The 27850-nt window shown below is 38.2% G+C and overlaps 1 protein-coding gene across 84 annotated transcripts in view, besides 5 other annotated features; it reads left to right on the top strand.

The window, feature by feature from the left end:
• The window catches only part of CYRIB (CYFIP related Rac1 interactor B), a 177537-nt gene that overhangs the window by 113194 nt on the left and 36493 nt on the right, over positions 1-27850 (top strand). For 19 of the 84 annotated variants that reach the window (NM_001353245.1, NM_001353252.1, NM_001353246.1 and 16 more), the window contains 2 exons: positions 586-624; positions 24465-24547. The exons of 2 other annotated variants lie outside the window; for them this stretch is intronic. In NM_001353245.1, the coding sequence (NP_001340174.1) occupies positions 24475-24547 (73 nt within the window). In that variant the 5' untranslated portion in view covers positions 586-624; positions 24465-24474. Of the gene's footprint in view, positions 1-554; positions 625-840; positions 860-7081; positions 7265-21279; positions 21299-23477; positions 23561-24320; positions 24340-24464; positions 24548-25212; positions 25221-27850 lie in introns of those variants that run through there. 63 more of the 84 variants (NM_001353269.1, NM_001353270.1, NM_001353274.1 and 60 more) reach the window with 19 other exon arrangements.
• Positions 4027-4227: a silencer, noted in NCBI's record as "peak7177 fragment used in MPRA reporter construct". NCBI's record gives its function as "represses an SCP1 promoter by STARR-seq MPRAs in K562 erythroleukemia cells {active_cell/tissue: K562}" and the evidence as "EXISTENCE:reporter gene assay evidence [ECO:0000049][PMID:32103011]".
• Positions 15159-15268: an enhancer, noted in NCBI's record as "active region_27972". NCBI's record gives its function as "activates an Ori minimal core promoter by ATAC-STARR-seq in GM12878 lymphoblastoid cells {active_cell/tissue: GM12878}" and the evidence as "EXISTENCE:reporter gene assay evidence [ECO:0000049][PMID:35858748]".
• Positions 15779-15828: an enhancer, noted in NCBI's record as "active region_27971". NCBI's record gives its function as "activates an Ori minimal core promoter by ATAC-STARR-seq in GM12878 lymphoblastoid cells {active_cell/tissue: GM12878}" and the evidence as "EXISTENCE:reporter gene assay evidence [ECO:0000049][PMID:35858748]".
• Positions 16066-16577: an enhancer, noted in NCBI's record as "H3K4me1 hESC enhancer chr8:130899605-130900116 (GRCh37/hg19 assembly coordinates)". NCBI's record gives its function as "activates a minimal SCP1, AML or CMV promoter by ChIP-STARR-seq in primed H9 embryonic stem cells {active_cell/tissue: H9 hESC(primed)}" and the evidence as "EXISTENCE:reporter gene assay evidence [ECO:0000049][PMID:30033119]".
• Positions 16578-17091: an enhancer, noted in NCBI's record as "H3K4me1 hESC enhancer chr8:130899091-130899604 (GRCh37/hg19 assembly coordinates)". NCBI's record gives its function as "activates a minimal SCP1, AML or CMV promoter by ChIP-STARR-seq in primed H9 embryonic stem cells {active_cell/tissue: H9 hESC(primed)}" and the evidence as "EXISTENCE:reporter gene assay evidence [ECO:0000049][PMID:30033119]".

Genomic DNA, 27850 nt, shown 5'->3' with positions numbered 1-27850 from the left:
GCAGAAATGAATGAATGAATGAGTGAAATAATAAAACCAATCCTAGAGAGGGCTTTGTGGTTCACTTGAATTTTGCCAAATGTGTCCCTGGCAAATAATAGGTTATGGTCACGGAATAAGGATTTTAATACCTTGAGTAAAACTGATTATTAATACATTGAAACTGAATGAACTTAAACTGTGATAAGAAATATAAATATGCCTCTTTTCATAGTTTTAGGCCCCTGCTGTAAGACTAAAGAGGAATAACTAACTTTCCTTTTCTTACCCTTTGCTTCATAAGCTATGATGAGAATTGTGTACTTGTCTTCGTACACTTTTTACTCTCTGAGTATGTTGACGGTGACAACTGGGTTGTCTTACCTATTGTTGTTTCCAGGGCTTAATATGATGCCTTACTCTAAATAGGTCCTCCATAAATGGTGGTTGAGTTAATCCAAGGAAATAAATAAATATATGTGTGTATGTATAAAATGTGCACGTGCATGATGGCATTCGTAAACTTTAAAGTTAACTGTAATAAAAACTTGTTTTAAAGTATAATAATGTTTTAGACTTTCTTCCTTTTTTTCTTTCCTTAAACAGATAGAAGGACAAGGACAGAATCACCAGCACTGGCTGAAGGTAAATATGTCTTTGGGGGAAATGATTATTCAAATATAAATGAAAAGTTATGATTTCAATAAAAACTTATATTAACTATATATAATTTAAGGGAAATGTTCTATACACAATATTGAGTTGCTAAAAATGTTGTTAGGAAATATTGATTGTTTAGTTTTTGGCTTAGAATAGGACCTGGTGGGGAAAATGTAAATTAATTAGAACTTTTTTTAACAGCTTTCTTTCTTTAGGAGAGGTATGTGTTTTCCTTTGAATTAAGTCATTTTAGCTGTCACCAGTATAGTTGATCAAGAAAGTTCTAAGCCATAATTTTAGTAGTTTAAAGTATATATATGTACATATATATTTTTTTTCATTGAAAACAGAAGGGAAGACACTTTACACATAATCTTAAGAATTCTATCTGTTACTGGTTTTGGTCCTTTTTTTAAAAAAAAATTTTTTAGAAACAAAGAATCGTTACCATAAAAGGTAGTTACTGTTAAAGGGTCCTGAGTACTGAAACATTTGTAATCCTGCAGTTGTTTTAATTATAACAAGTTATTAAGTATTCAAAATGTAATTTTTTTTACAGGCAGATTTTGTGTTCTTAAGTGAAAATGACTAGCTTAAAATCCCTTTCCGTGTTCTTCTTAGTTATAAACAGAGTATATTTTTTCAAAACTAGCTCATCAGGCCGGTCGTGGTGGCTTACCTGAGCCTGGGATGTCCAGGCCGCAGTGAGCCAAGATTGCATCACTGCACTTTAACCTGGGTGATAGAACAAGACCCTGTCTCTAAAAACAAAAACAAGGGTGGGCGCAGTGGCTCATGCCTGTCATCTCAGCACTTTGGGAGGCCGAGGTGGGTGGATCACCTGAGGTCAGGAGTTCAAGACCAGCCTGGCCAACATGGTGAAACCCCATCTCTACTAGAAATACAAAAAATTAGGCAGGTGTGGTGGCGTGTGCCTGTAGTCCCAGCTACTTGGGTGGCTGAGGCGGGAGAATTGCTTGAACCCAGGAGGTGGAGGTTGCAGTGAGCCAAGATCACGCCATGCACTCCAGCCTGGGCAACAGAGTGAGACTCTGTGTCAAAAAACAAAAACAATAAAAACAAAAACAAAAATCCAGCCCATCATTTTATTAGAGCTGGTACAACAGTTACTTCTATGACAGTCCTTCAGAATTGTTATCACCTTGCTTACTCTGTATTTTACAGTTCAGAGGTTCTTAACGAGTATTTTTTGTGCCAAGGACCTCTTTGGCAATCTTATGAAGCCTATGAATCCTGCCTCAGAATAATGATTCTAATAATGATTCATGATTGTATGAAGTAAACTACATAGGATTAAGAAGGAAACGTTACATTGAAAAGCCATTAACAAATACTAAATACAAATTTGTGATAAGTAATATGTGTGCTTCTTACATTAATATGTGTGCTTCTTACATTAATATGTGTGTTTCTCATGTTAGAGAATAAGCATTAGGAGTAAATATACTATATATCATAATTTTAAATAGATGTTGTGTGCAAAAATTGTAATACAAAAATACCCATGGTTTCTATTAATGACAAATTCATAGGTTTTCTAATACTACTGTAGTTTGTTACTAATATTCTTGATTGAAGGAATTGTTAATTTTTGTATAGAGGTTAGTGAAAAGGTTCCCATCCATATTCACAGATCCCTGAATTCTCTATGGACTCCCCATATTAAGAACCTCAGTTAGTGAAAATTCAGCTAGACCTTTCTCCATCATACTTCAGTAAGCGTAGTTTTTCACATTCTATATGACTAATCTTAAGTAGTTACAGGCCGGGCACGGTGGCTCATGCCTGTAATCCTCGCACTTCGGGAGGCCAAGGCAGGTGGATTGAGGTCAGGAGTTTGAGACCAGCCTGGCCAACATGGTGAAACCCCGTCTTTACTCAAAATACAAAAATCAGCCAGGCATGGTAGCACCTGCCTGTTATCCCAGCTACTCGGGAGGCTGAGGCATGAGAATCACTTGAACCTGGAAGGTTGCAGTGAGCAAAGATCTCACCACTGCACTCCAGCCTGGGCAACAGAGCTAGATACTCTGTCTCTCAAAAAAAAAAGGTATCCTAATGATGTAGGCTAGAAGTTTGTGAAATAGCTTTGAAGAAGCTTCTATTTGCTGGTCCATAATAACAGAAACCCCATCTCTACTAGAAATACAAAAAATTAGCCAGGTGTGGTGGCGTGTGCCTGTAGTCCCAGGCTGTAGTCCCAAATTTTGTGGAGAAAGAGAGTAGAAAATAAGTGTTAAGCCTTGGCGAGTGCCTGCCTTCAAAGAACATGAAGTAAATATGTAAAAAACAAGTATCAGGGCTGGGCGCGTGGTGGCACACGCCTGTAATTCCAGCACTTTGGGTGGCCGAGGTGGGTGGATCACTTGAGGCCAGGAGTTCAAGACCAGCCTGGCCCACATGGCGAAATCCCATCTCTACTAAAAATACAAGCCGGGCATGGTTGTGCGCACCTGTAATCCCAGCTACCCAGGAGGCTGAAGCACGAGAACCGCTTGAGCCTGGGAGGCGGAGGTTGCCATGAGCTTAGATCGTGTCACTGCACTCCAGCCTAGGCAGTAGAGCAGGACATTGTCTCAAAAAAAACACCCTCCCAAAACCCAAATATCAGTATGAGACACCAAAATTTTAAGAAGAGAAACGCCATCATTGCCATAGGAAAGATACGAATAGTAGTGCTCTGATAATTGTGTTTTGAAAACAAGAAAAAGGTAGAGACTTGCAGAAAGTCACCAGCTGTTTTGCAGTTCCATCAGTAGTATAAGCTGTACGGTGGTAAGTTTCAGCCTGATCTAGAAAGAGCCTAGAATGATGTCCCCGAATCCCAGTGTTTGCCCAGCAGCTGACACTGACTACAAATTGAATGTCAGGTCTGTTAAAGTTTGATTAACAGCAAAAACAGCATTAACAATCATTTCAAAGGGGACATAGTTGGGAACGTGACTTTCGTTTTTGTTTCCTTTGTTGTGGTGGTACTTAATTCTTTTGATGTCATCTGGCCCTGATGCCATGTTTTAAAGAGGTTCTCAAAAGCTGCACTGCCAGAGTCAGTGGATTAAGCCCCACATTTTTTTTTTACTCATTTGCTGCTTTGTCCAAGTCACCAGGTTGCTCTAGTCTTTATTTCCCTTCTTTCATAAAATTAGGGAGTTGAGCTCGTTCAAGTCATTTCACAAACCCTTTAGTCTGGGCTCAGATTTTCTATCCTTTGTCATCCCCTTTCTCCGTTTTTTTAGCACCTTTAGACATGTGGTAGTGAAAGTCTTCAGAATCAAAATGGAGTTACTAATGTTAAGGAAACCCAGGGAAGCTGTGTACAGAGCCAGGGAAGGCTGTGAAGAGAGTGTTCTCACACTTGTATGCCTGATAATGAAAGAGACTACAAAGACCATATCCTTACACAAAGGCCATCACCACCTTACACAAAATAGTACTTCTGCAAGGACATCTGCCCAGCAACTGCCTGTTCAGCCTCCAACTGGTGTCACCCTTGTTATTGATCTTTGTAGCTAAGGATATTTATTTCAAAACTATTATATAACCCTTGTTTCTCCTTTAAAAACCTTTGTCTTCCTTTACCTCCCTGAATATGTATGGCATAGTTTACTATGTTATGCATATTCCTATTGCAATGCTCTGTTCTGAAATAAACATCTTTTCTTTGTGATCCTCTCTCTGTTATGTAGGTTGACAGTAAAAATTCAAAGTGGTTTAGTGATTTGAACTTTGCTTTATATAAACATTTCCTTTTTATATGCTTTGTGAAACTAGAAGGTGTAATAATTAATGGCATACTTAGTTAAAAAAATTTATATGATATGCACATACTGCATTTGGTCCTAATAATGATCTCAACATTTCATTTACAATTAGCTTATTCCACAGTATTAAGAAAACATAGGTTTCTTCCTATTTTATATAAATCAGCCTTTAAAATAAAACAAACCAGCTTTTGCAAAATTATTTACAAAGATACCTGGCCTTGTCATTTGTCATTTGAAAATAATTATGGGACCTGCTTTTTAAATTTACTGAGGGGGATCTCTTTCTGCTGTAAAATTTTACTTCTTTCTGAAGTAAAATTGTATTTTAAAAAATGATATAATGAAAGGCCAGGTGCAGTGGTTCATGCCTGTAAATCCCAGTACTTTGGAGGCTGAGGCAGGTAGATCACCTGAGGTGTCAGGAGTTCGAGATCAGCCTGGTCAACATGGCAAAACCCCGTCTCTACTAAAAATACAAAAATTAGCCGGGCCTGGTGGCACATGCCTGTAATCCCAGCTACTTGGGAGGGTGAGGCACGAGAATCACTTGACTTGGGAGGCAGAGGTTGCAGTGAGCCGAGATCCTGCCACTGCACTCCCCAGCCTGGGCGACAGAGTGAGACTCCAAAAAAAAAAAGAAAGGCAAAGTAAAACTGTATATATTCAGTTATAATTACCACCTCCTTGGCAACATCAGAATGTAAATGAATGACCTCTGCTGGACTCTTTTTAGCACTGTAAGAGATACTGATTTATTAATGTAGAAAATTATTCAAGTACATATCTTTAAAATTCTATTACCAAGAGAAGAAAAATATGTTTTTGTATTCTGTTTGGTTATGATAAGCCTGGAGGAGATAGATTTAAGAGAATGATTTTAATTTTAGTTCAGTTAAATTAAGTTCAAGAACCAGGAAAACATTTGTGCCTTTTGTAATTTCACTTGTATTAAATTCCGTTAGTGTACAAGGCTCAAACAGAAAGACCTGACAAACTGTTGAAAACTATTTAAGAACATTTCTTAACATCCGTCTTCTTTTCCTAATAAGCATACATTTTTCTTTTTTAAATTTATTTTACTTTTAGCTTCTGCATCCAACCATCCATAACATACTTACTGCTTTTCTTAAAAAAGTTTTTTCCAGTGAAATTTTTTTTCTAACTTAGAAGTTTTAGTACTAATTTCTTTTAGGAACACTTGAAATTTTTCTTAATTGTTTTTGGATGAATTGTATGTGCCACAATAAACGTTCATTTATTAACTTAACATTAGCACTAACGTCATGCAAAGCCCTCTGCAGGGTGCTTTGGAAACAGAAGTTAAGATCACAGGGAAAAAAGTTTCCACTGCCCTTGGTTCTTTAGCCTATAATGTTTAACAAGGTCTTTGTGATGAGTATTCCTTTAAAAAAAAAAACAAAAAAACTTAAAAAAAATTTTTAGATTGGGGCCAGGCACAGTGGCTCACGCCTGTAATTCCAGCACCTTGAGAGGCCGAGGCGGGTGGATCACCTGGTCAGGAGCTCAAGACCAGCCTGGCCAACATGGCGAAACCCCATCTCTACTAAAAATACAAAAATCAGCCGGGCGTATTGGCAAATGCCTGTAATTCCAGCTACTTGGGAGGCTGAGGCAGGAGAATCACTTGAACCCAGGAGGCAGAGATTGCAGTGAGCCAAGATTGCTCCACTGCACTCCAGCCTGGGTGACAAGAGTGAAACTCTGTCTCAAAAAATAAAAATTTAGATGGAGTTTCGCTATGTTGCCCAGGCTGGTCTCGAACTCCTGGGCTCAAGCAATCCTCCCACCTCCACCTCCCAAACTGCTGGGATTATAGGCATTAGCCGCCCACCATGCCTCTCCCTACCTAGAAAATCACTTATAAACTCTACTCAGAAGCTAAATTCTTGGCTGGCATTACTAGATAGGAGATGTCTTGTTTGTACCTTTGCAAATGTGAACATACATAATCTGATGGGTAACTTTATTTTGACCTCATTTGACTGTTGTTTTAAGATACTTCATATATTTAATGGTTTGTTAAGTAGCACAGGGATTGTGTTTAGTTTATTTCTAGGAGGCCAAAGAGAATTTAAACCAAGGAGGAGATGTTAACAAATGGGTGAATTTCAGTTTAATACAAGGATTGTATGGTTTTCGAGGGTAGAATTCATGTCTTAATTGTGCTTATTCAGTCATTGTCTTAAGTTTCTACAAATTTTTCTAAAAATTGACCAAAGTCTAAAATTTAAGTCATGTAGAGTATTTAAGCAGTGGTGAGATGGCTACTTGGTGTGGATATGTTGTAGAATAGATTCATACTAAGGTTAAATAGTCAAGGGTGAGTCTTCCATTTGACCGTGAATGGTCCCTTCCTGGTCTGAGATTCTCTTATTTATTGGTAATGGGATATAAAGCCATTCTGCCTGTTGTCTTTCACTCTTCACAGTGACTATAGTGTTGAGAAGAGCCCCTAGTCAACCCCAGAAATTAAGGGATACTTAACTTCAGAGAATACCTTATCTTTTAACTCAAATTATGAGAGAAAGCAGAACAATTTTTAAGAATCTCTTATCCATTTCAGTCATAGTGAGGTGACTAGGAATGACACTTTACTTCTATATGCCAAATTCTGGCAGATTTCCTTTCAATTGTAGGCCTCCTGTTTCCTGCGCTTTCTCCTTTTCCTGTGAAATCTCCGAGGAGAAGAAAGAATGATGGACAGTTTATCCTTTCACTGCCACAAGGCCTGTTTACTTGGCAGTAGGTCCTTAAGTTCCTTGCTTTTTTGCTGCTGTTTGGTGACTGGAAGAGGCACCAGAGACTCTCACTCTGGGGAGGTGGGTGGCATGTTTATAAGTAATGGATGAGAATGTCTCTGTAGCCCTTAGTTATTCTCTGTGCAAAAAGCAGAAAACTAAAATTGCTACTTCTGAAGATGACTGTTGGTCATCAGGATTTTTAAGGATTTGAACTCTCATTGCGATAATGCATAAGAACATGGGAAACACCATTGAAGATTAGCTCAGAGGTGGTAAAGAGTATTGTGGGAAAATATCATTGCTGTCCAGGCCAGCTTTAATGTTTTAGCAGTAAACCTTTGCCTGTTAACCTTGTCCTTGATTTTCTTGATGTTTATAGATCTTGTATTTGAATTATCCCTTCGTAGGTAAGACTAAGGGATTATTCCATAAACTTAGTCCCTAATTTATTAAGTTGCACTTTGTTTAATTTGACCTAAACCTACTCTTTTTATGGGATGCCCTTAGTTTAGGTATTCTCTTTTTGGATAAATAAGCTGCTTTTTACTTGAATTGTTCATTTATTAATTTGACAAATATTTATTGAGTACTGGCTGTGTGACAGAATGTCTGTTAGGCTGGAGTTTCAAAAATGAAACAGATGTAGACTTCTTAGATGTTTGGAAGAACTTTCCTATAAAACTCACTGAGTAATTGACACATTGTATTGTTTATAAATGGTTCTAAATAATAGAAAAATCTATGTATAAAAATAGGCTTGACAGCAAAACCAGACAGGAACAGAGAAAAAAATTACAGGTCAGTCTTACAAAATAATCCAAGGTGAAATGTTAGCAAAACCAAATCTAGGAATATATATTTTTAAATGATCAAATAAACCAGGTGCAGTGGCTCACGCCTGTAATTGTAGTTGTAGCACCTTGGGAGGCTGAGGTAGGAGGTTTCCTTGAGCCTAGGAGTTCAAGACCAGCCTGGGCAACAGAGCAAGACCGTGTTTCAAATTTATTCATTCACCCTCATTCATTTATTCATAAATAAATAAATACATAAATAAATAACCAACCAAGCAGACTTGATCTCAGGAATGCAAGAATGGTTTAGCAACAGAAAATGAATTTATGTAATCTGTCATATTCATAGATTAAATGACAAAATGATTGAAATTATAGAGATGGCAATTATATATTTAATGCAAAATCAAATCAAAATCCCATCAGAATTTTTTTGTAGAATTTGACAATCACATGAGTGAATAAAAGGGCAAGAATAAGGCAATTTTGAAGAATTATTATTTAAACAGTAAGCACAGACCATGAAGAAAAATGAAAAACTGGACTGTTATGACAAACAACACCATAAACAAAGTTAAGATATGTTAGATCCTAGAAGAAAGTATCTGCCTTGTATATAAGCATTAAAAGGGTGGTATCCAGAATTTCTAAAGCTGCCAGGTATGATGGCTCATGCCTGTAATCCCAGCACTTTAGGAGGCCAGGGTGGGGGAGGATTGCTTAAGGCCATGAATTTGAGACCAGTCTGGGCAACACGATGAGATCCTGTCTCTACAAAAAAAAACAAACAACAACAGTATTCCCCCTGCCCCTGCCCCCACCCCCACCCCCACCCCCACCCCAACCCCGCCGACACACACTAGCATGATGACACGGGCATGTAGTCCCAGCTACTCAGGAGGCAGAGGTGGGAGGATCGATTGAGCCAGGGTGGTTGAGGTCGCAGTGAGCCGTGAGCACACCACTACACTCCAGCCTGGGCGAAAAAGAGCAAGACCCTGTCTCAAAAAAATAAATTAATTAAAAAAATATATATATATATATATTTCTAACACTCAGTTTGAAAAAAGAGTGGTATGACAGTTGAAGTTAAGTTAGGAAAACTTACCACTCTGGATATTTCAAACAATTTAATATAGAAGATTGGTTACAAAGATACTAGAAAAGCTGGAAGAGCAAAAGGAACAAGGGAGAGAACAGAGTAGCAAAAATAAAATAAGAAATTATGATGCTGCTTTTACCAGAGACAAGCTGCTGCCACCACTAGGCTGGAACCTACAGGCTGCACCTGTCCCTAATTAGGGTATTGGATACTATTCACACTGCTCCTACAACAACTGCTAGCCTGTTCTAATCAGTAACTTCTCTCTTCCTCCTGTCTTCTCACCCTCCAGTTCCTCCTAACAGGAACCCAGCTGGCAAAGATGTCTGGGAAATGTCATTTGCATTCTCAGCCCCAGCAGTGCAGAAAGGTAGGAGTGGGGCTGCGAAACAACAGAAAAATAAGGACCATAGGTGACAAAGGAAATGCATATACACTTCACAGATGGCCCATAAACATATAATACAAAGAGGTGCACATTTTTACTGATAAGAAAATACAAATTTAAACATCAGTGAGACATTTCAGACTCTAAAAATTAAACTTGAGGTTTTGGAGGACAGGAAATAGGAAATCTTTGTACCTGTGGAACAGAATTGATGGAAGCACTTGGGAGAGCAATTTAGCACCATGTATTAAAGTTACAGTTGCCTTTTCATTTTCAGACAGCTGTCCTATAGGACTCTTGTACATGAGCTTAAGTATATGTAGTGTGTGTATGGAGGTGTAAAGCATAACTGTTAATATTTAAAAGTGGAAAATAATCTCATTGTCAATCAGTAGAGGAATGAATAAACTGGTTTCTTTGAATAATCCAATAGTATGTAATAGCTACAATGAACATATTAATAATTTTTAAAAACTATTGAGTGAGAAAATCCAGTTTTCAAAGAATGCACAGTATATCACGTATGCAAATTGAAAAGCAGAACAATACTGTATTGTTTATGATGAATATATACCTTTGGAGTAAAAAATCTTAAAATATGTTTGGCAAGGAAACCATGCTGGAAAAAAAAAAAAAGGCCTAGTGTGATGGCTCATGCCTATAATCTCAGCACTTGAAGTCAGAGGTGGAAGGATCGGTTGAGGCCAGGAGTTCAAGTCCAGCCTGGACAACATAGCGAGAACCCATCTCTATCTAATAATTTTTTTAAAAAGATACTAATTATCTTCAGTGAGAGAGGAGGGGAGGAAAGTTGATTGAAAGAGGTTGGGAGGTCAACTGCACACACAAAAAAGTAGCCCATCTGAAGCAACTATTGCTAAATTGTTATAGTTTTAATCTGGGTGACAGACTGTGAATAGTATTTTTTTTTATACTTTATGTTGGAATTACTTCCTAATTTAAATAAATAGCAAACAAGAAAGAATTAAGAATCAGCCCTTCTGGGAAGCTTTTATTTACTTTACCAAGACTGGGTTAGGTATTCTTTTTTCTGTGTGTTCAGAATGCCCTTTGCTTTTTTCTTTATGAAAGCATACCCACACTTGCTTGTCTGGTCTCTTCCACTTGTCTGTGAATTCCTCAGCACCAGATATTCAGTATTCATCATAGCCATTGGCAGACAGGTGCTAAGTAAATGTTGTTTGATTTAAAACGACTACCACCACTGATACTGTAAAAGCTAAATATATAGAAGTATCTGAGGCTTATATAATGATACATTTTAAAAAACTGATCATCCATGCGTTGTAGCATGTGTATTAGAAAGAGGTAGGTACCTGAATTCCATTCTAAGCTTTTTTGTTGGGCATCTTTCAGTGAGACATACGTGTTCTCTGAGCATCAATGGCTTTACATTTTTAAACATTCAAAATTACTGATTCATACAAGAGTGTGCATACTTCATTTGTAAATTGTGAAGCCTAAAAATAAAACTCCCACAAATCCGCCGCTAATTGAGGAACTAGAATAATTCTCAGGTTTTTAAAGTTGCCCAATCCTATGATTGTCTCCCCCTGTATAAATAACCAGTATCTTTAATATGATGTTTGATTTAATGGTATTATATTGTGTACAGTTTGCCGATAGCATTATAGTTCTCTTATTCATCTTTATCGTATGTAGCTGGAGTTAATTTGTTTGCACAGTATTATAGTTCATTATGTGAATATTGCACATGAACTTCAGAAGGAATGTCAGACTAATTTCCCAAACTTCTCATAGTAGTTTACACTTCCACCCAATTGTGCCCATTGCTCTTGCGTTTTACATCAGCCTAGTGTAATTTTGAAATATATAATGAAATGAAACTTTTCTAAAATAAAATATTTCCAGAAGTAATCATTGAAACTATTGGCATATATTTATTTTACAGCATGATATATAAAGAAAGCCATAGTTAAAAGCAGAATGCTACTCCACAAAAAAAAAAAATTCTGACAATTTTGGTAATTAAATGTGACAGTGGACTTGTGTGACCAGGCTTTTCTTTTGAGTTGTTGACATGAAATAAAATTCATTTTGCATTCATAGATTTTAAAATAATGTTTGCAAAATGAATTCAGAATACTATATTTGTCTAATGATAACGTATTTTCAAGAGAAACTTTCATAGTAAGTCCTTATAAAATAGGTCATTTTGAGTTGTTTTGCATATTTCCATCATATTCCATTCCAGAAACTTCTGTATTACTTGCCTTGAGCCTTTGTACTAGCCCTTCTCATACTCTTTGTCTGTACTTGATGCAAACCATTGTAGCAGGATGTGTTTCTGTGCTTTCATGGTCTAAATATGTGGCTCTGACAGTAATTTGCATTGGTGGTTAAACTCTTCCTTTTCCTACCTCCTGTAATAGAGGTTTTTTTAACATTTAATGGCTGGAATCATGGAAGAGTGCCAGTAATCTTTGAATCAGATTCAAAGATACCATGACAATCTGATCTAATACTATTTTATTGTGTTTCACTTCCATGTAAGGAACAGTATTGGTCTCCTAATTTATTATATCCATTGCACATGGCCCAACAGAAATAGGTGAAATAAGATTTTTCATTCTATAATATGAAGTCTAAGTGTATCCATCCACTAGATGTCAGCATTAGGCAAGATGGAGTGGAATGGATGTAGAATAATAGCCAGAAGCTCAGTAAGAGATTTAGTCTAACAAGTAAACTGACTTGTATAAAGGCACGCATTTTATGATAGAGTCAGGACTAGAAATCAAGTCTCCCAATTTTTAATCCATTGTTATATCACATTTCTTTAAGTCAAGTGAGTTAACTGCATGTAATTTAGTAGCTAAAATTAAAATATATGGATCTTAACATTTGCTAGGGCTTCATGGGGAGATTTTAGTACTACTATGTTGATATTAACACTGGCATCCAGGAATACCTGAATCCTGTTGTACTAATCTCTCTGTCTCTTCCTTTACATTTCACAAAAGATGGAGAATCAAAGCATCACTTTATTAATAGCTAAACTAGTACTTGATAGCAGTGAGTTAGATAGTGTTAGTAAGGTTAAGGATTAAGCTGTTCTCTAGAACTTCTCCGATATCAGTCAAATTCCAACCAGGAAAGCAGAAAGAAAACGAGGGATTTTAATATATGTATTTAGTTCACAAGTGTTGGAAACCTGAGCCAAAAGAGATTGCTGAGGTAACTTAGATATTAATAGAAACCACAAGAAGCAGCAATTACTTTTAGGGCTGAGGGAACAAAAGAGAAGAGATGGATTTGGGAGAATTTAGGAGCCTGAAGGAAGAACCCCATAGGCCTGGAGTCTCAGACCTTTGAAGGGGGCCAGATAATGCACTGCTGCTGGGAGTTCCACAAGAAGCTAGAGCTTGGAACCCTAGCTGTCTTACTGCTGGAAGAAATTATGACAGGACTTGAAAGATCCCTTTGTTTTTCTTCTTCCCACCTTTTCATTTCCTTTTGGTGACATTGCTTGCTTTCTCTTCTCTTCTCTTTTCTTCTTTTATTTTTTCTTTTTTTTTTTAAATTTTATCTTTTTTGGGACATTCTCACTCTGTTGCAGAGTGTAGAGTGCAGTGGTGCAATCTTGACTCACTGCAGCCTCCGCCTCCCGTGTTCAAAAAATTCTCATGCCACAGCCTCCTGAGTAGTTGGGACTACAGGTACGTGCCACCACGCCTGGCTAATTTTTGTATTTTTAGTAGAGGCGGAGTTTTGCCATGTTGGCCAGGCTGGTCTCAAACTCCTGACCTCAAGTAATCTCCCCACCTTGGCCTCCCAAAGTGCTGGGATTACAGATGTGAGCCACCACGCCTGGCCTGCTTTCAAGTGATGGTACAGTTTCTTAGAAGCCGTTCAATAAGCAGACTTCGGGCAATATTTGATGAGGGTGGTGCCTTGAATATTTTCAGAAGGGTTACTGAGATTATTGATACGATTTATGTCTAAAAAACAGTGTATATACCTTAATTTAAAAATACTTTATTGATAAAAATGCTGACACTTATCTGAGCCTTCATTTAGCAGGTCTTAACCTTTTTGCTAGTGGAGGGTCTTGCCTGGATGTTAATGGCTTCAGACTGATCAAGGTAGTAGTTGCTGAAGGTTGGGTGGCTGTGCAATTTCTTAAAATAAGACAAAAATGAAGTTTGCCACATCAGTTGACACTTCCATGAAAGATTTCTCTGTAGCATATGATACTGTTGGGTAACATTTCACCCACAGTATAACTTTCAAAATTGGAAGCAGTACTTTCAGACCTTGCCAGTGCTTATCAGCTGTGTTCATGTGATACTCATTTTAACAGTCTAAACAACATCTTCACCAGAGTAGATTTCATCTCAAGAAACCATTTTCGGCTGGGAGTAATGGCTCGCGCCTGTAATCCTAGCACTTTGGGAGTCCGAGGTGGGTGGATTGCCTGAGCTCAGGAGTTTGAGACCAGCCTGGGCATTATGGTGAAACCCTATCTCTACTAAAATACAAAAAATCAGCTGGCTGTGATGGCTTGTGCCTGTAGTCTCAGCTACTCAGTAGGTTGAGGCACGAGAATTGCTTGAACCCGAGAGCTGAGGTTGCAGTGAGCCAAGATGACAAGGTGGAAACTCTGTCTCAAAAGAAAAAAAAAAAAAGGAAAGAAACCATTTTCTTTGATTATCCATAAGAAGCAACTCCTCATCCACTCAAGTTTTTATCATAAGATTGCAGCTATTCAGTCACATCTTAAAGGCCCTTCTAAGATGAACTTCTACTCTAGTTCTCTTGGTATTTCCACCACATCTGCCATTTCTCCACTGAAGTCTTGAACCCCCCTCACAGTCATCTGTGAGAGTTAGAATCAACTTCTTTCAAACTCCTATTGATGTTTGACCCCTTCCCATGAATCACAAAGGTTCTTAACGGTATCCAGAATGGTGAATCCTTTCCAGAAGGCTTTCAATTTACTTTCTCAGATCCATCAGAAGAATCCATATCTATGACAGGTTTAGCTTTAAGAAATGTATTTCTTAAATAATAAGACTTAAGAGCCAGAATTACTTTGTGATCCATGAGCTGCAGAGTGGATATTGTGTTAGCAGCATGAAAACAGCGTTAATCTCCTTACACATTTCCATTAGAGTTCTTGATTGACTAGGTGCATTATCAGTGAGCAGTAATTTATTGAAACGAATATTTTTTTTCTGAGGAATAGGGCTCAATGGTGGGCTTAGAATATTGAGTACACCATGCTGTAAACAGATATGCTGTCATCTAGGCTTTGTTGTACCATTTAGAGAGCACAGGCAGAGTGGATGTAGTATAATTCTTAAGGGTCCTAGGATTTTATTTTTATTTTTATTTTGAGACAAAGTCTAGCTCTGTTGCCCATGGAGTGCAGTGGTGCGATCTTGGCTCACTGCAACCTCTGCCTCCTACTTCAAGCAGTTCTCCTGCCTCAGCCTCCTGAGTAGCTGTGATTACAGGCGCCTGCCACCCTGCCCAGCTAATTTTTGTATTTTTAGTAGAGATGGGGTTTCACCATGTTGGCCAGGCTGGTCTCAAACTCCTGACTTCAGGTGATCCGCCCACCTCGGCCTCCCAAAGTGCTGGGATTACAGGCATGAACCACTGTACCTGGCCTCTCTATTTTTAATCATGTATTTTTTCAGCAAATACTTAATGAATACCAACTACATCCCAGGCATTGTTCTAAGTGCTCAGGATAGAGTAGTGTACAAAACAAAACCCCTGCCTACTCAGAGGAAGACAGAGTAAATAGATAAGAGTAACAGGAATGTGTGTTAGATGGTACGAACCATCAGTTTGGGAAGGGGATAGAGAGGAGGATGGAAGGGGCATTTATAGGTGGGTAGGTAGCTCAAGGATTCTCTCTGAAGAGGTGAGGCCTTACTGAGCAGCAGAAACTGCAAGCAGGCTTTTGTGGTTAGATGCGCATGTGTGCAGTGGAGAGTAAAGAAAGATGAGGCCAGAGTGTGTCGGAGCAGATTGTGTAAGATTTTGTGGGACCTCTGTTTTAGTCTGTTCTCACATTGCTATGAAGAACTACCTGAGACTGGGTAATTTCTAAAGAAAAGAGGTTTGATTGACTCATGGTTCTGCAAGCTGTACAGGAAGCATGGCTGGGAAGGTCTCAGGAAACCTTGAATGGCGGAAGGCGAAGAGGAAGGTGGCACGTCTTACATGGCCAGAGCAGGAGGAAGAGAGATGGGGAAGTGCCCCACCCTTTAAAAGAACCAGATCTCATGAGAACTCACTATCACAACAGCAGCAAGGGGGAAGTCCACTCCCATGATCCAGTCTCCTCCCAGCAGGCTCCTTCTCCAACACTCATGAAATTTGGGCAGGGACACAAATTCAAACCATATCATTCTGTTCCTGGCCCCTCCCAAATCTCATGACCTTCTCACATTGCAAAATATAATCAGCCCTTCTCAGCAGTCCCTCAAGTCTTAACTCATTTCAGCATTAACTCAGAAGTCCACAGTCCAAAGTCTCACCTGAGATGAGACAAGTCCCTTCCACCTATGAGTCTTTAAAATCAAAATGAAGTTAGTTACTTCCAAGATACAATGAGGGTACAGGCATTGTTTAAATACTCCCCTTCCAAAAGGGCAGAATAGGCCAAAACAAAGGGGCTTTAAGCCTGATACACATCTGAAACCTAGCAGGGCAGTTGTTCAATCTTAAAGCTCCAAAATAATCTCCTTTGACTCCGTGTCTCATATCCAGGCCACACTGATGTAAGGGGTGGGCTCCTAATGCCTTTTGCAGCTCTGCCCCTCTTGCTCTGCAGGGCTTACCTCCCATGGCTGCTCTCAAGGGCTGGCATTGAGTGTGGCTTTTCCAGGTGCATGGTGCAAGCTGTTGGTGGATCTGCCATTCCGGGGTCTGGAGCATGGTGGCCCCCTTCTCGCAGCTATGTTAGGCAGTGCCTCAGTGAGGACTCCAACCCTACATTTCCCCAGTGCACTGTCCTAGTAGAGGTTCTCCATGAGGGCTCTGCCCCTGCAGTGTACCTTCTGCCTGAACATCCAGGCATGTCCATACATCCTCTGAAATCTAGGCAGAGACTCCCAAGCCTCAACAATTCTTGCTGTCTGCACACCTGCAGGCCTAACACCCATCAAAGCTGCCAAGGCTTATGGCTTCTACTTGCCTGAACAGCAGCTTGAGACATAATCTAGGACTGTTTTAGCCGTGGCTGGAGCTGGAGTGGCTGGGATGCAGGGAGCAGTGTCCCCAGGGCAGCCAGGCCCTGGGCCTGGCCTGTGAAACCATTCTTCCCCTCTTGGCCTCTGAGTCTGTGGTGGGAGGGGCTGCCACAAAGGTCTCTGAGATGCCTTCAAGGCATTTTCCCCATTGTCTTTGATTTGTCATTGAATTTGGGCGGAGACACAAATTCAAATCATATCAACCTGGTAAAGAATTTGGATTTTATTTTGAGTGTGTTAGTGAGTCATTGCATGGCTTTGAGCAGAGAAAGGATGATTTATATGTTTAAAAGAGTGCTTTGCCTCTTATATGTGGAAGAGATTGTAGGAGGAGGCTGGGTTGGAAACAGGGAGACCAGCAACCCTAGCAGGAAGTGAGGGTAGCAAGAAGTAGGGAGGTGTGGCAGTGGGGGAGGTGAGACGTGCTGCCCTTTAAGCTAATGATAAAAGTGTGTTGAGGAGGATGAGGGGAGTGTCAGGGCAGATGCTCCTGGCAGGCAAGGTAAGGTGTGAGGGCTGAGTATTGACACTGGAATTAGCAACGTGGAAGTTACCTGATGGCCTTCCCAGTGCAGTTTTGGTGGTGTGGGATGGGGATAAAAGCCACATTGCAGTGGGTTTAATAGAGAACGAAAGGAGAGAAACAAAAGATGCTGAGTGTTAGATTATTCCTTTTAAGGAATTTTGCTGCAAAGAGAAGCAAGGGAATAGGGTGGGAGCTGGTGAGGGAAATAGAATCAAGGTACATTTCTGTTTATGTTTTAAGATGGAAGAAATAAATGTATTTATGCCAAACAGAAGGGTACTGAAAAAGAAAAACTGAAGTAGGAAGGAAACTCAAGATAATGTATTGTTCAGAATGTCAAATTTTGAAGAAAGTGTTTTCAGGAAGGCGTGGGTGATAACTGGGTCAAGAGCTGCTAGTTCAGTAAGTTGAAGTGTGAGAATTGTCCTTTAGATTTAGCCAAATGCAAGTTTTGGTGACCTTGACAGGCACAGGTTTATTGTAGTGGGCATAAAAGCCAAACTGGAATGAGTTGAAAGAATCGGAGTTTGAAAGGTGGAAAGAAACAGCTACAGACAGTTCATTTGACAAGTCTTGCTATAAAGAGGACAGGAAAGATGATGTTGTAGTAGAGGGCACATGAAGTCCTTGAGGAGACAAAAGCAGGCAGGAGAAGTAGTGCCCCAGAAGAAAGGTTGTCCTTCAGGAAAACAGGTACAGAGGGTGGGTGTATGGTTACTGAAGAAAGGATGGTAGAAAAGATAGATGCTTATGTGTTTTGTGTGTGAAAGATACAGTGAGGTCATTTCCTGCAAGTGAGAATGGAGGATGGGTTGTTGGGTTTTTGTGGTTTTCTTCTTCTTTTTTTTTTAAGAGATCATGAGAAAGGTAAGAATTTTTTTTAATGTGTGGAATAATCACCTGGGAAAGTGGGAGAGGAGATTGAGTGAGGTAGCAAAACTGAGGCTGCACTTCAGGTTGGTGGTCATATGTTAAAAGCAGCAGCTTTCAACAACAGGCAGTTTTGCCTCCTAGGGGACATTTGACAGTGTCTGGAGGCGTTATTGGTTGTCACAGCTGGGAGCAGAGGTGATAAGGGGTATCTAGTGGGCAGAGGCCCAGAATACTGCTAAACAACCTACAAGGCACTAGACAGTCCCCTACAGCAAAGAATTGTACAGTTCAAATGTTAGTATTGCTGAGTTTAAGAAACCCTGATTTAAAGTGAAGCTGGTTAGTGTGTTTGTTACTTTTCTTTCTTCCCCTTCCTTCTCACTGGCCAGTCACAAGTCTTTAATACGTTTATAAGCTGGATGTGAGGAAAACTGACACTAAACAAGAGAAATTCAGATTGTGATAAATATGCTTAAGAAATAAGTTGAGTGAAGAGGTAGGTAGAAGATTATCACTAGAAGTTGCAACCGGTGCAACTCCTTTGAGAAGGTTGGCAGAGAAAGGCCTCTTCAAAGAGATGCCTTTTAAGATGAGCCCTGAAGGATGGAAAGAAGCCAGTCATGGGAAAATCTTTGGGACTAGCATTCTAGGAAGAGGAGACAAAATTAAAAAGTACCTTGAGGAGAAAAAGTAAGTGAAGTAACAGCATCTCTTAGGAAGCTTCTAGAAAGATAGAGGAAATATTATAGTAATTGTAGGGTATAGTTGTTTCTATTGGCTATTATTCTGTAAGGAAACTTCTTTTCAAATGTTTTATGGGAAAATGGTCTAATGTATTTAAGTGCCTTTTGTTAGCTTAAAAATACATTCCACAGACTACCGGCCAGGAAGGGCGTGTTCCTTTCCAGATAAGTTGTCAACGTGGAAACAAATGTCTAATGTAAGGGCTCATAGTAAAAAAAATTCCACCAGAAATAGGACAACTCCTGAGGTAAACCATGTCTGGTTTCTGTGTATTAAATCTGTGTTAAATTTATTTTTAGCTTATTTAGTAAATACAATATTTAGTTTAAATCCAAGGATTACGATAGAAAATAATTTGAAAGAAGATTCTTTAGCTTTTCCCTTCTAAATTCAGATAGTAAGACTTAGTTTATTATTCTAAATGATAATATTTGTTACCTCTAAAATATATCAATAGTGTTTTGGGTCTGCTTTAAAATCTTAAATCCGGCCGGGCCTGGTGGCTCACGCCTGTAATCCTAGCACTTTGGGAGGCTGAGGCGGGTAGGTCACCTGCGGTTGGGAGTTTGAGACCAGCCTGACCAAGATGGAGAAACCCTGTCTCTACTAAAAATACAAAATTAGCCGGGCGTGGTGGTGCATGCCTGTAATCCCAGCTACTCAGGAGGCTGAGGCAGGAGAATCACTTGAACCTGGGAGGCGAAGGTTGCAGTGAGCCGAGATTGTACCATTGCACTCCAGTCTGGGCAACAAGAGTGAAACCCCGTCTCAAAAAAAATCTTAAATCCTTTGGTATCTTTCATATCAAATGTATTTATTCATCCGAAACTTAGAAATCTTACTAGTCTCCTTTAGATGGCAGAAATCCAACTCAACAGCTAAAAGGGGTATTAGTTTAAAAAAACTAGGGTATCTTAAAACCAGAGGAAAATCAAGCAGCTGGACTGAGAGAAGTGACAGCTGGAACTCGGGAATGAATGGAAGGAAATTAATGACTCCAGGACACTCTTTGAGACCTTGCACTGTAATATTGGTTCATTCTCTTGTGATAGACTGCCATCCTCTAGGGCAGGAAGTATGACTGCCACATCCGCCCACGCCTCACATTCCATAAGTTCTGCTGCTGGGAACAGAGCCCCTAGTTAGGTTGCTCTGACAGCTGCAACAGTAATAGTAAATAAACTGCCAGGTATGGCACTAAATGTGGTGCTTATTATTAACCCATTTAATGATTTTAGGAACCCTCTGAGGTGGATATTATTAATATGCACCTTTTACACATGAGAAAACTGAGGAATGGAGAAGTTAAAAAACACTTGACTGAAGTCACAAAGTTTGGAAGTGGCACAGCTGGGTTTCAGACCCAGGCAGTCTGGTCCCACCTAAGCTGATGATTAACCACTGTTATATTAGTTGAAAACAGTCACAGTGAGAGGACAGCAGGGGTTTTTTTTGTTTGTTTGTTTGTTTGGTTTTTGGCCAGGTTAAAATATAGCAAGATAGGGTTATGGTTTTAATTTTTTGTTTATTCTTATAAAGGATAGGAGAACCGATAATGTTATAATGGGACTGTTTTTAGAGCTTTGAAAACTTCCATGAGTTTTTGTTCAAAGAGACATTGTGATATGAGCTGCCTATGTAGCATCTGTCCTGTGTGCTATGTGGTAGAGCGAATTTTTGCGCTGGACAACAGTTGTAGTGATTCTCAGTCGGGTGATTTTGCCCCCAGGAGATATTTGGCGGTATCTAGAGACATTTTTGATTGTCACAGCTTGTATGGGGGGTAGCTGCTAGTATCTAGTGGATTGAAGCCCAAGATGTTGGTGTATTTCCTACAATGTGAGACAGACTCCAATAACAAAAGAACTCCTCAGCCCAAAATGTTAGTAGTGCTGAGACTGAGAAACACTGTGTTAGATAAACTGAGCCAATTCCTTTTTTTTTTTTTTTTTTTTTTTTTTTTGAGAGGGAGTCTAGCTCTGTTGCCTAGGCTGGAGTGTGCAGTGGCGTGATCTTGGCTCCCTACAACTGCCGCCTCCTTTAGTAGAGACGGGGTTTCACTGTGTTGGCCAGACTGGTCTCGAACTCCTGACCTTGTGATCTACCCACCTTGGCATCCCAAAGTGCTGGGATTACAAGCGTGAGCCACTGCGCCCAGCCAACTGAGCCATTTTCAAACTAAGTGTTTGTGTATGGGATAAATAAGCAAGAAATTCTCAATCCTTATGAGAGCAAATAGGTCAGGACCAAGTCTGATGGTAGTGGTCATACTCCCAAGTATGAGGAGGGGAGGATCACATTAGCCTCGGGTGCCTGGAAAGAAGAACCATATACAGAGGAAGAAGTTTACAGAACGAGCTGTAGGAAAATGGAGCAGACGTACATGGCTAGTTCCAAAATTTTCCCCAAGGTTGGACTGTGTGCATACACGTAAAAAGGTAAGGAAACCTAATCTCCCTCTTCTCCATGCATACCTGATGATGTTAATAGAACTAATTTTAGGACATTTCAGCAATATTCTTGATAAATATGGGCTTCATTCTGATTTATAACATTGGAATGTGTTGATAAGGACTCAGGTTTATGTTAAAAGAAATAGAGCCATTATTACTTTTAAAAGGTTATTTTGTGATATTTAGGTTTTAATTACAGCAACAGCCAATATTTATTAAATGTTTTCTGTGTGCCAGACACTGAGTCAGTGCTTAATCTAATTTAACCCTCATAATAGGAATTTAAGATATTTACTATAATTACCTGTGTTTTACCAATCAAGAAATGAGTCCCCAAAAGGGTTAACTACCATCCTTAAGGTCAAACAGCTAGTAAGCTAGAGTCGAATTTCTGGTTTGATTCCATAGATTAAACTCCTAAAACCAAATGGTGTGCTGCCTTTTTCCTACTGAAAATAATTATAGTCCTTTCTCATGATATATTTTTCATCTGTAGTTCCAATTTTGATACCACTAGGTAATTTTTTGTGTATTTGGTCTCAGTTCTTGTTAGTGAGAAAATTTATATATGTTTGGATACAGTCATTCCATATATGTTGGAAAGCTTTTAAAAATTAAAGCTGTGAAATATGCTATTTCCAAATGGTTTCTTCCAACATCTATTGAAGAACTTTAGTAACCAATTTGAGATAATTATTTGGGTGTGATGATTTAGGAAAAATGTTTATCTTTTCCTTTAATATAAAAGCTTGGTATTATTAAATGTTTTACAATGTATACAGTAATTAAGTCAAAATATTAAATATTTCCCTCTTAGCTTAATGTCACCTAATCCACTTGTGTAAAGTATTGTACAAAATCAGACCATTGAAATTCTGTGTAATAGAAATGTTAATATAAGAAGAAGATAGATCTCCACCTCCCCCATTGGGGGAATATTGTTTCAAAAGGGAAGAACCATTCAGTACTTACCATATATGAATAAATTGGATTGCTTTTAACATTTTATAAGAAATTTGTGTTTCCGTACATCAGACTTTGACCTCTAAAGCAAATAGCTATTTGTATTTCCTCATGGGAAGCTTACAGTTAGAAACATATGCTGATGTTGGAGAGTAGGTGGAAGAGGGGGATGCCACAGGTGACGGGAAGTGCTAACTTTTTTCAAGCTTCTTATAATGAGAGTGAGTGGCAAGTTGTCTTTTTTCTTAATAAAAATATTGTTTTATGTTTTGCCTTATTTACATTTGCCAGCAACGGGATCTTTGGAGAAAAACACATAGCAATTGGAGGAAAAGTACAGCAGTTGGAGGGAGGAGGATGTGGGTAGCCGTGATACCATAGTTTGCCTCCCCTTTTGTTACTCTACCTTCCAGGTTTGAACCTGGTTTCCTGGATGTTTCTGACCCCATTTCCCACTTTCATCCTCACTGCATTATGGAAATCTTGGGCAACATTTATGCCAATGCCGTATTTTCACTTTTTGTCCTCCGCAAACCTACTAAGTTGTGATAATTGCTGGCTCCCTGTTTGCTGTGTTAACTTTTAAGTTCCATACATGGTATAGTTGTGTATAGTTGATTATTCAGTCTAAGAGTTAAATAATAAGTTTGATTAATCTTAGGAGACAGAAGATATCAAAAACATTTTATGTGTGGTAAAGTTTTTTTAGATGGGTCATTAATTGATAACTTTCTTTAGGCTTTAATGGTTAAATGTGGTTTGAATACTTTCTTCTTTGTGTTCCCAATAGGATTTGACTCTGCAAGAAGGAAAATATCCCTATTATTTAAAAAAATGGTTTCTATAGTTACTTATTTGAGAAATCTAGTTTTGCTGTTAAATTGAGAAATATATGCCTCAAAAATTTTAAAGGAGTAACACTAACATAGATAGTAATAAAATGTAAATATTGCAAGTTATATGTCAAAATCTAATCTTTTTTCCCATCTTGCTTTATGTAACTTTTTTGATATGTGGAAAAGAGGGACAGGAGCTATAAACTCAGAGCCAAATGTGCTTTTGTTGTTCCAAATTCTCAATGCCAAAAGCATATAAACCTGCACCTGTTGATAATTATGAGCAAGCCAGCCTTTGCCAAATCCCAGGCCTCTGCTTAAAATTTTTTACTGGAACTAAATGATGTTGCCATTTTTATTTTTAGGTTTGCTGGCATGGGTAATCTCATTAAGGTGCTAACCAGGGACATAGACCACAATGCAGCACATTTTTTCTTGGACTTTGAAAGTAAGTCTCTTTAGCCCTTCACAGCTGGTGCATAATGGTAAAGGTGAAAGATGAATTATACTCACCACAGTGAAGGCCAGCCAGAATATTTGTTAATTAAACATGGGAATCAAACAAAGGTTGCATGATTTTTTCTTAATCGTAGGCAAACATCACCATCATATGTATAATTTAGTTTTTCATTTGCTAAAATCATGTTGAGTGTGTAGCCAGTGCTGTCCTTTCATTAGTCCATGAAGCAAGTAGCCTTATGATGAACATTCTAATAGTATGCTTTAGTGACTATGTCAAACAATATTCGCTTATAATCCTGTAATAATTTTATTTTAAAAATCAGAATTGTGCTGCATACCTTGAATCAGTAGTCTCCGTACCTCCACAAATTATTGACAATCCAAATTTGGTTAGAAATATATGCTTTATTGAACCGCATGCAGGAAGAAAGTTTTATACTGTTTTAAGATGAGATGCAAAGGTGAGACATGGCCAAATGTATTAATATTTGGCTTTGAAATAAATTGTTGTTTCAGTGCTATACTAACAGTACTACATGTAAATAATTCTTGATCAGAAATTTCTTTTTCAGAATATTAGCACTATTGGAATACTTAAAGAATTTTTCATTATAAGGCCATTAATGAAACTTGTCTTGGGAGAATTTTGAGAAGAATTAGAGCAACAGTTGTGCCATTGTGTACAGGAAAACCACATTTCACCTCTAGGTCCTACATATCAACACCTTGAGAACCCGTTTTGCTGTCTGCCAGAGCACAGTCTGGGTAACCTGAAGAATGAATTCATGGCCTAATGAACATTTTCCCTGTTACTATTTTTCTTTAAGTAAACTTCAGATGTTCTTTTTTATAAAGGGATATTTTCTCTTTTCTCATTCTTGTCTTGACAGGTACCTTAACATGGGGAATCTTCTTAAAGTTTTGACATGCACAGACCTTGAGCAGGGGCCAAATTTTTTCCTTGATTTTGAAAGTGAGAAGATGATTTTATATCTATTTCTCTTTGCCTGCAGTAGACTGCGTTTGTCTTGCACTAAATGAATGTTTCCACTTTGCCATCTTTTTAACTGCTTTGCATGACTGAGCTATGAATTGTTTGAGTAAATTTCTGGTGCCTTCTAGAACTGGAAGTCCTATTTTATAGATTAAATTGTGATGATAAAATGTCTTTGAGTTTTTATAAGAGATTTCATATCTCTTAGTTGGAGATTATTTTGTAATTTACGATCTATTCTCTAATGAAAACATTTTTATGAAAAAATTTTGTTGGAAAGGACAAGTACTACCTCAAGATTTATTAATAGAAGCAATATTTGGGGAAAACTTATATTATAGTCAAGAAAAATCGACCAGGTTTCAGTTATTGTAGGGTACATATTTAAGTATTTCAAATATCAATCTGTTCATGAAGGCCATTCAGAGCTCAGTAATTTGGGCATAATATTAAAAGGTAAGTGTGAACCTAAATTATTTAATCTTTGCAGATAATTTGAAAAGTTAAAAAAATAGAATGTATTTATTTCAGGAATTTATTTTTTCTGACTCTAAATGAAAGGAAAAATAATGGGTTCACAGACCTTTAAGTAATTTGCCTTCTGTTTGTTTTATGTTGCATGACCTATTGTAATATGGTCTAAGAGTGGCAGGTAAGTGTCATTGACCTTGGTGCATGTTGCAAAGCTTTTGCTTTTTTTGGCTGTTGATATCGCTTTAGCTTGTCTGGTTGTTAAATTGAGAAGAATTATTAAATTGGTGTTTTAGTGTGAATGATGCTATTTTAACTGATCAATAGAAAATTGTTAGGAAAGGGTGAAGAGGTATTTCTTAGGTTTTTAATCATGTGATCCCTTATATTTTTAAGTGTTAGAATGTATTTTTATATACTTAAAATTTAAGATGTTTTCTGATTTTAAAAACAAAACAAATAAATCACTTAAACCCCAGAAAGTCACTGCCTTTTCCTCCAACTTCAATTTAGTTTTTACAATTTTATGTAATTCATTCTATTTTATGAATCATTCTAAACCATGGCAGTTCATATGAACACATCAATTTATAGCTATCTCCATTTTGTAGAATAATTTGTGGTCTCTGGTTATTTTCTACTTTTATTCCATTTCTATAAAGGATCTGTTACAGTTTGGGTACTGTGTACAGGCTAGTAAAGAGTAGTAAATCAATATCAGGTCCATGTGAAATTGGGTTTCAGGGGAAATTGGGTTTTTAGGGGAAATACTGTTAAATATTAGATGAATATTAGTTTTCTTGACCCTTCTCAACAATTTACCAGTGCTATGTTAAGTGCATGTTTAGCATGACTTTTAATCAGCTTGAGGATGTCGAGCAGATTGCTGACTTGAAGATATTCTTTCAGATGAGGCAACTTACATTAGAGCTGTATTTTAGTTTATTTGCATCTGTTTCAAACTTGGTCTTGTGTCTTTTTCTGCTATTCTGTCTCCCTTTTCCTCTTTGTCTCAAATTCCTTACATTTACAGAATCTTGACTTTGATAGTCAAGATCTTGTTCAAGACTTGGCACTTGATCTTTTTGTAAACCTAGTATTATGTTATGGTCAAGTGGGAAGCATGAATTTAAATGTAGTATTTAAAAGATTACTTGGTCTTGGCTTTCCAATCTGTGGGAGTGTTTGGATCATTTTATACACACACACACACACACACACACACACACACACCTTTTTTTTTTTTTTGATATGAGGTCTTACCCTGTCACCCAGACTAGAGTGCAGTGGCGCAATCTTAGCTCACTGCAACCTCTGCCTACCTGGCTCAAGGGATCCTCCCACCTCAGCCTCCAGAGTAGCTGGGACTACAGGCACATGCCACCAAGCCCAGCTAATTTTTCATATTTTTGGTAGAGATGGGGTTTCACTCTGTTGCCCAGGCTGGTCTCAAACTCCTGAGCTCAAGTGATCCACCCACCTTGGCCTTCCAAAGTGCTGGGATTACAGGTGTGAGCTACTGCACCTGGTACATTATTATAATTTAATAATAGTGACAGGAAAAGGTAAAAATTGCAAGCAACAATAATAACCAATAATGCAGAAATACATATAAAATGTTAACTGTAAAGGCAGATATTGTTGCCTATATCAGCCAATGTAGATCTTCTGGTTTTATACTTACTGGTATACTATAAATGAAATTTAGTGACAGCATACTGTATACCAAACTAGAGTTTACCCATTGTTATTTCTTATTTAGATTTTTAGATACATTGTCTTTTGATTCTAACATTGGCATTATCTTAATTTAATCTCTGTATATTTTTCTTCTTTTTGGAAATATGCGTTTGTAAAAGCTTACCTTATAAGCTACTATGGTGACCTTGGCCTATCAGATGGGTGTTCTCTTAAACCGTTTTATACTGCTTTATACCAGACTCAAAATTGCCAACATAGTTATCTGCTAATTCTCAATAACTTAAAGCCACATTATTTTTGCTAGAGTAATTAGTACTACATTGTTTATTTCTAGATGCACTTTAATATTCATGTCACCAGAGTAATTTAGTTTTACTGTTTTATTAATCTGATTGATTAAGTCTATCCCAATATGTCTCTGCAGTTGGGTGACCCAATATGTCTCTGCAGTTGGGTGACCCAATATGTCTCTGCAGTTGGGTGACTACAGAAATAATTCATGCAGATTACCTCGCTATTTGTATCATATTATATACAAATGACATACTCTAGTGCATTTGAAATGTAATTTAATGGAATCTTGTAGTTTACAAAATTAAGATTGTCTTTAAAGTAAATCATTATTCCTTTAATTTACTCCTCTCATGACCCCTGTAACTGTTTTTCACTTCAGTTCAACATACATTTATGCCTTGCCTCCTGTATACCAGCCAGTAGGTGCTGGGGTTGCAAAATAACTAAGATACAACCCATACATGCTGGAAGCTCTCAATCTAGTAGGAGAGGATAGACACGAAAGCTCATAATTTTGTTTTGTTTTGTTTTTGAGACAGGGTCAGTCTCTGTCGCCCAGGCTGGAGTGCAGCGGCATGATCTCAGCTCACTGCAGCTTTGACCTCCCAGGCTGAAGTGACCCTTTCACCTCAGTACCCAAAAGTAGCTGGAATTACAGGTGCCCACCTGCCAGAAAACTCAGTTTTACTTAAATTATTTATTTTCAACGTGTAGCTCATGAAGATACTAACTTTAAATGGCAGGGAGTAGATTGAGAATCATCATGGAAGACCTTTTTTTTTTTTTCTTGAGATGGAGTCTCACTCCGTCACCCAA

This window comes from Homo sapiens, chromosome 8 (genome assembly GCF_000001405.40).
Source record: "Homo sapiens chromosome 8, GRCh38.p14 Primary Assembly".
NCBI classification, from domain to species: Eukaryota; Metazoa; Chordata; class Mammalia; order Primates; family Hominidae; genus Homo; species Homo sapiens.
Note: the sequence above shows the minus strand (reverse complement) of the source record. Positions and strands in the feature narration are given on the sequence as shown.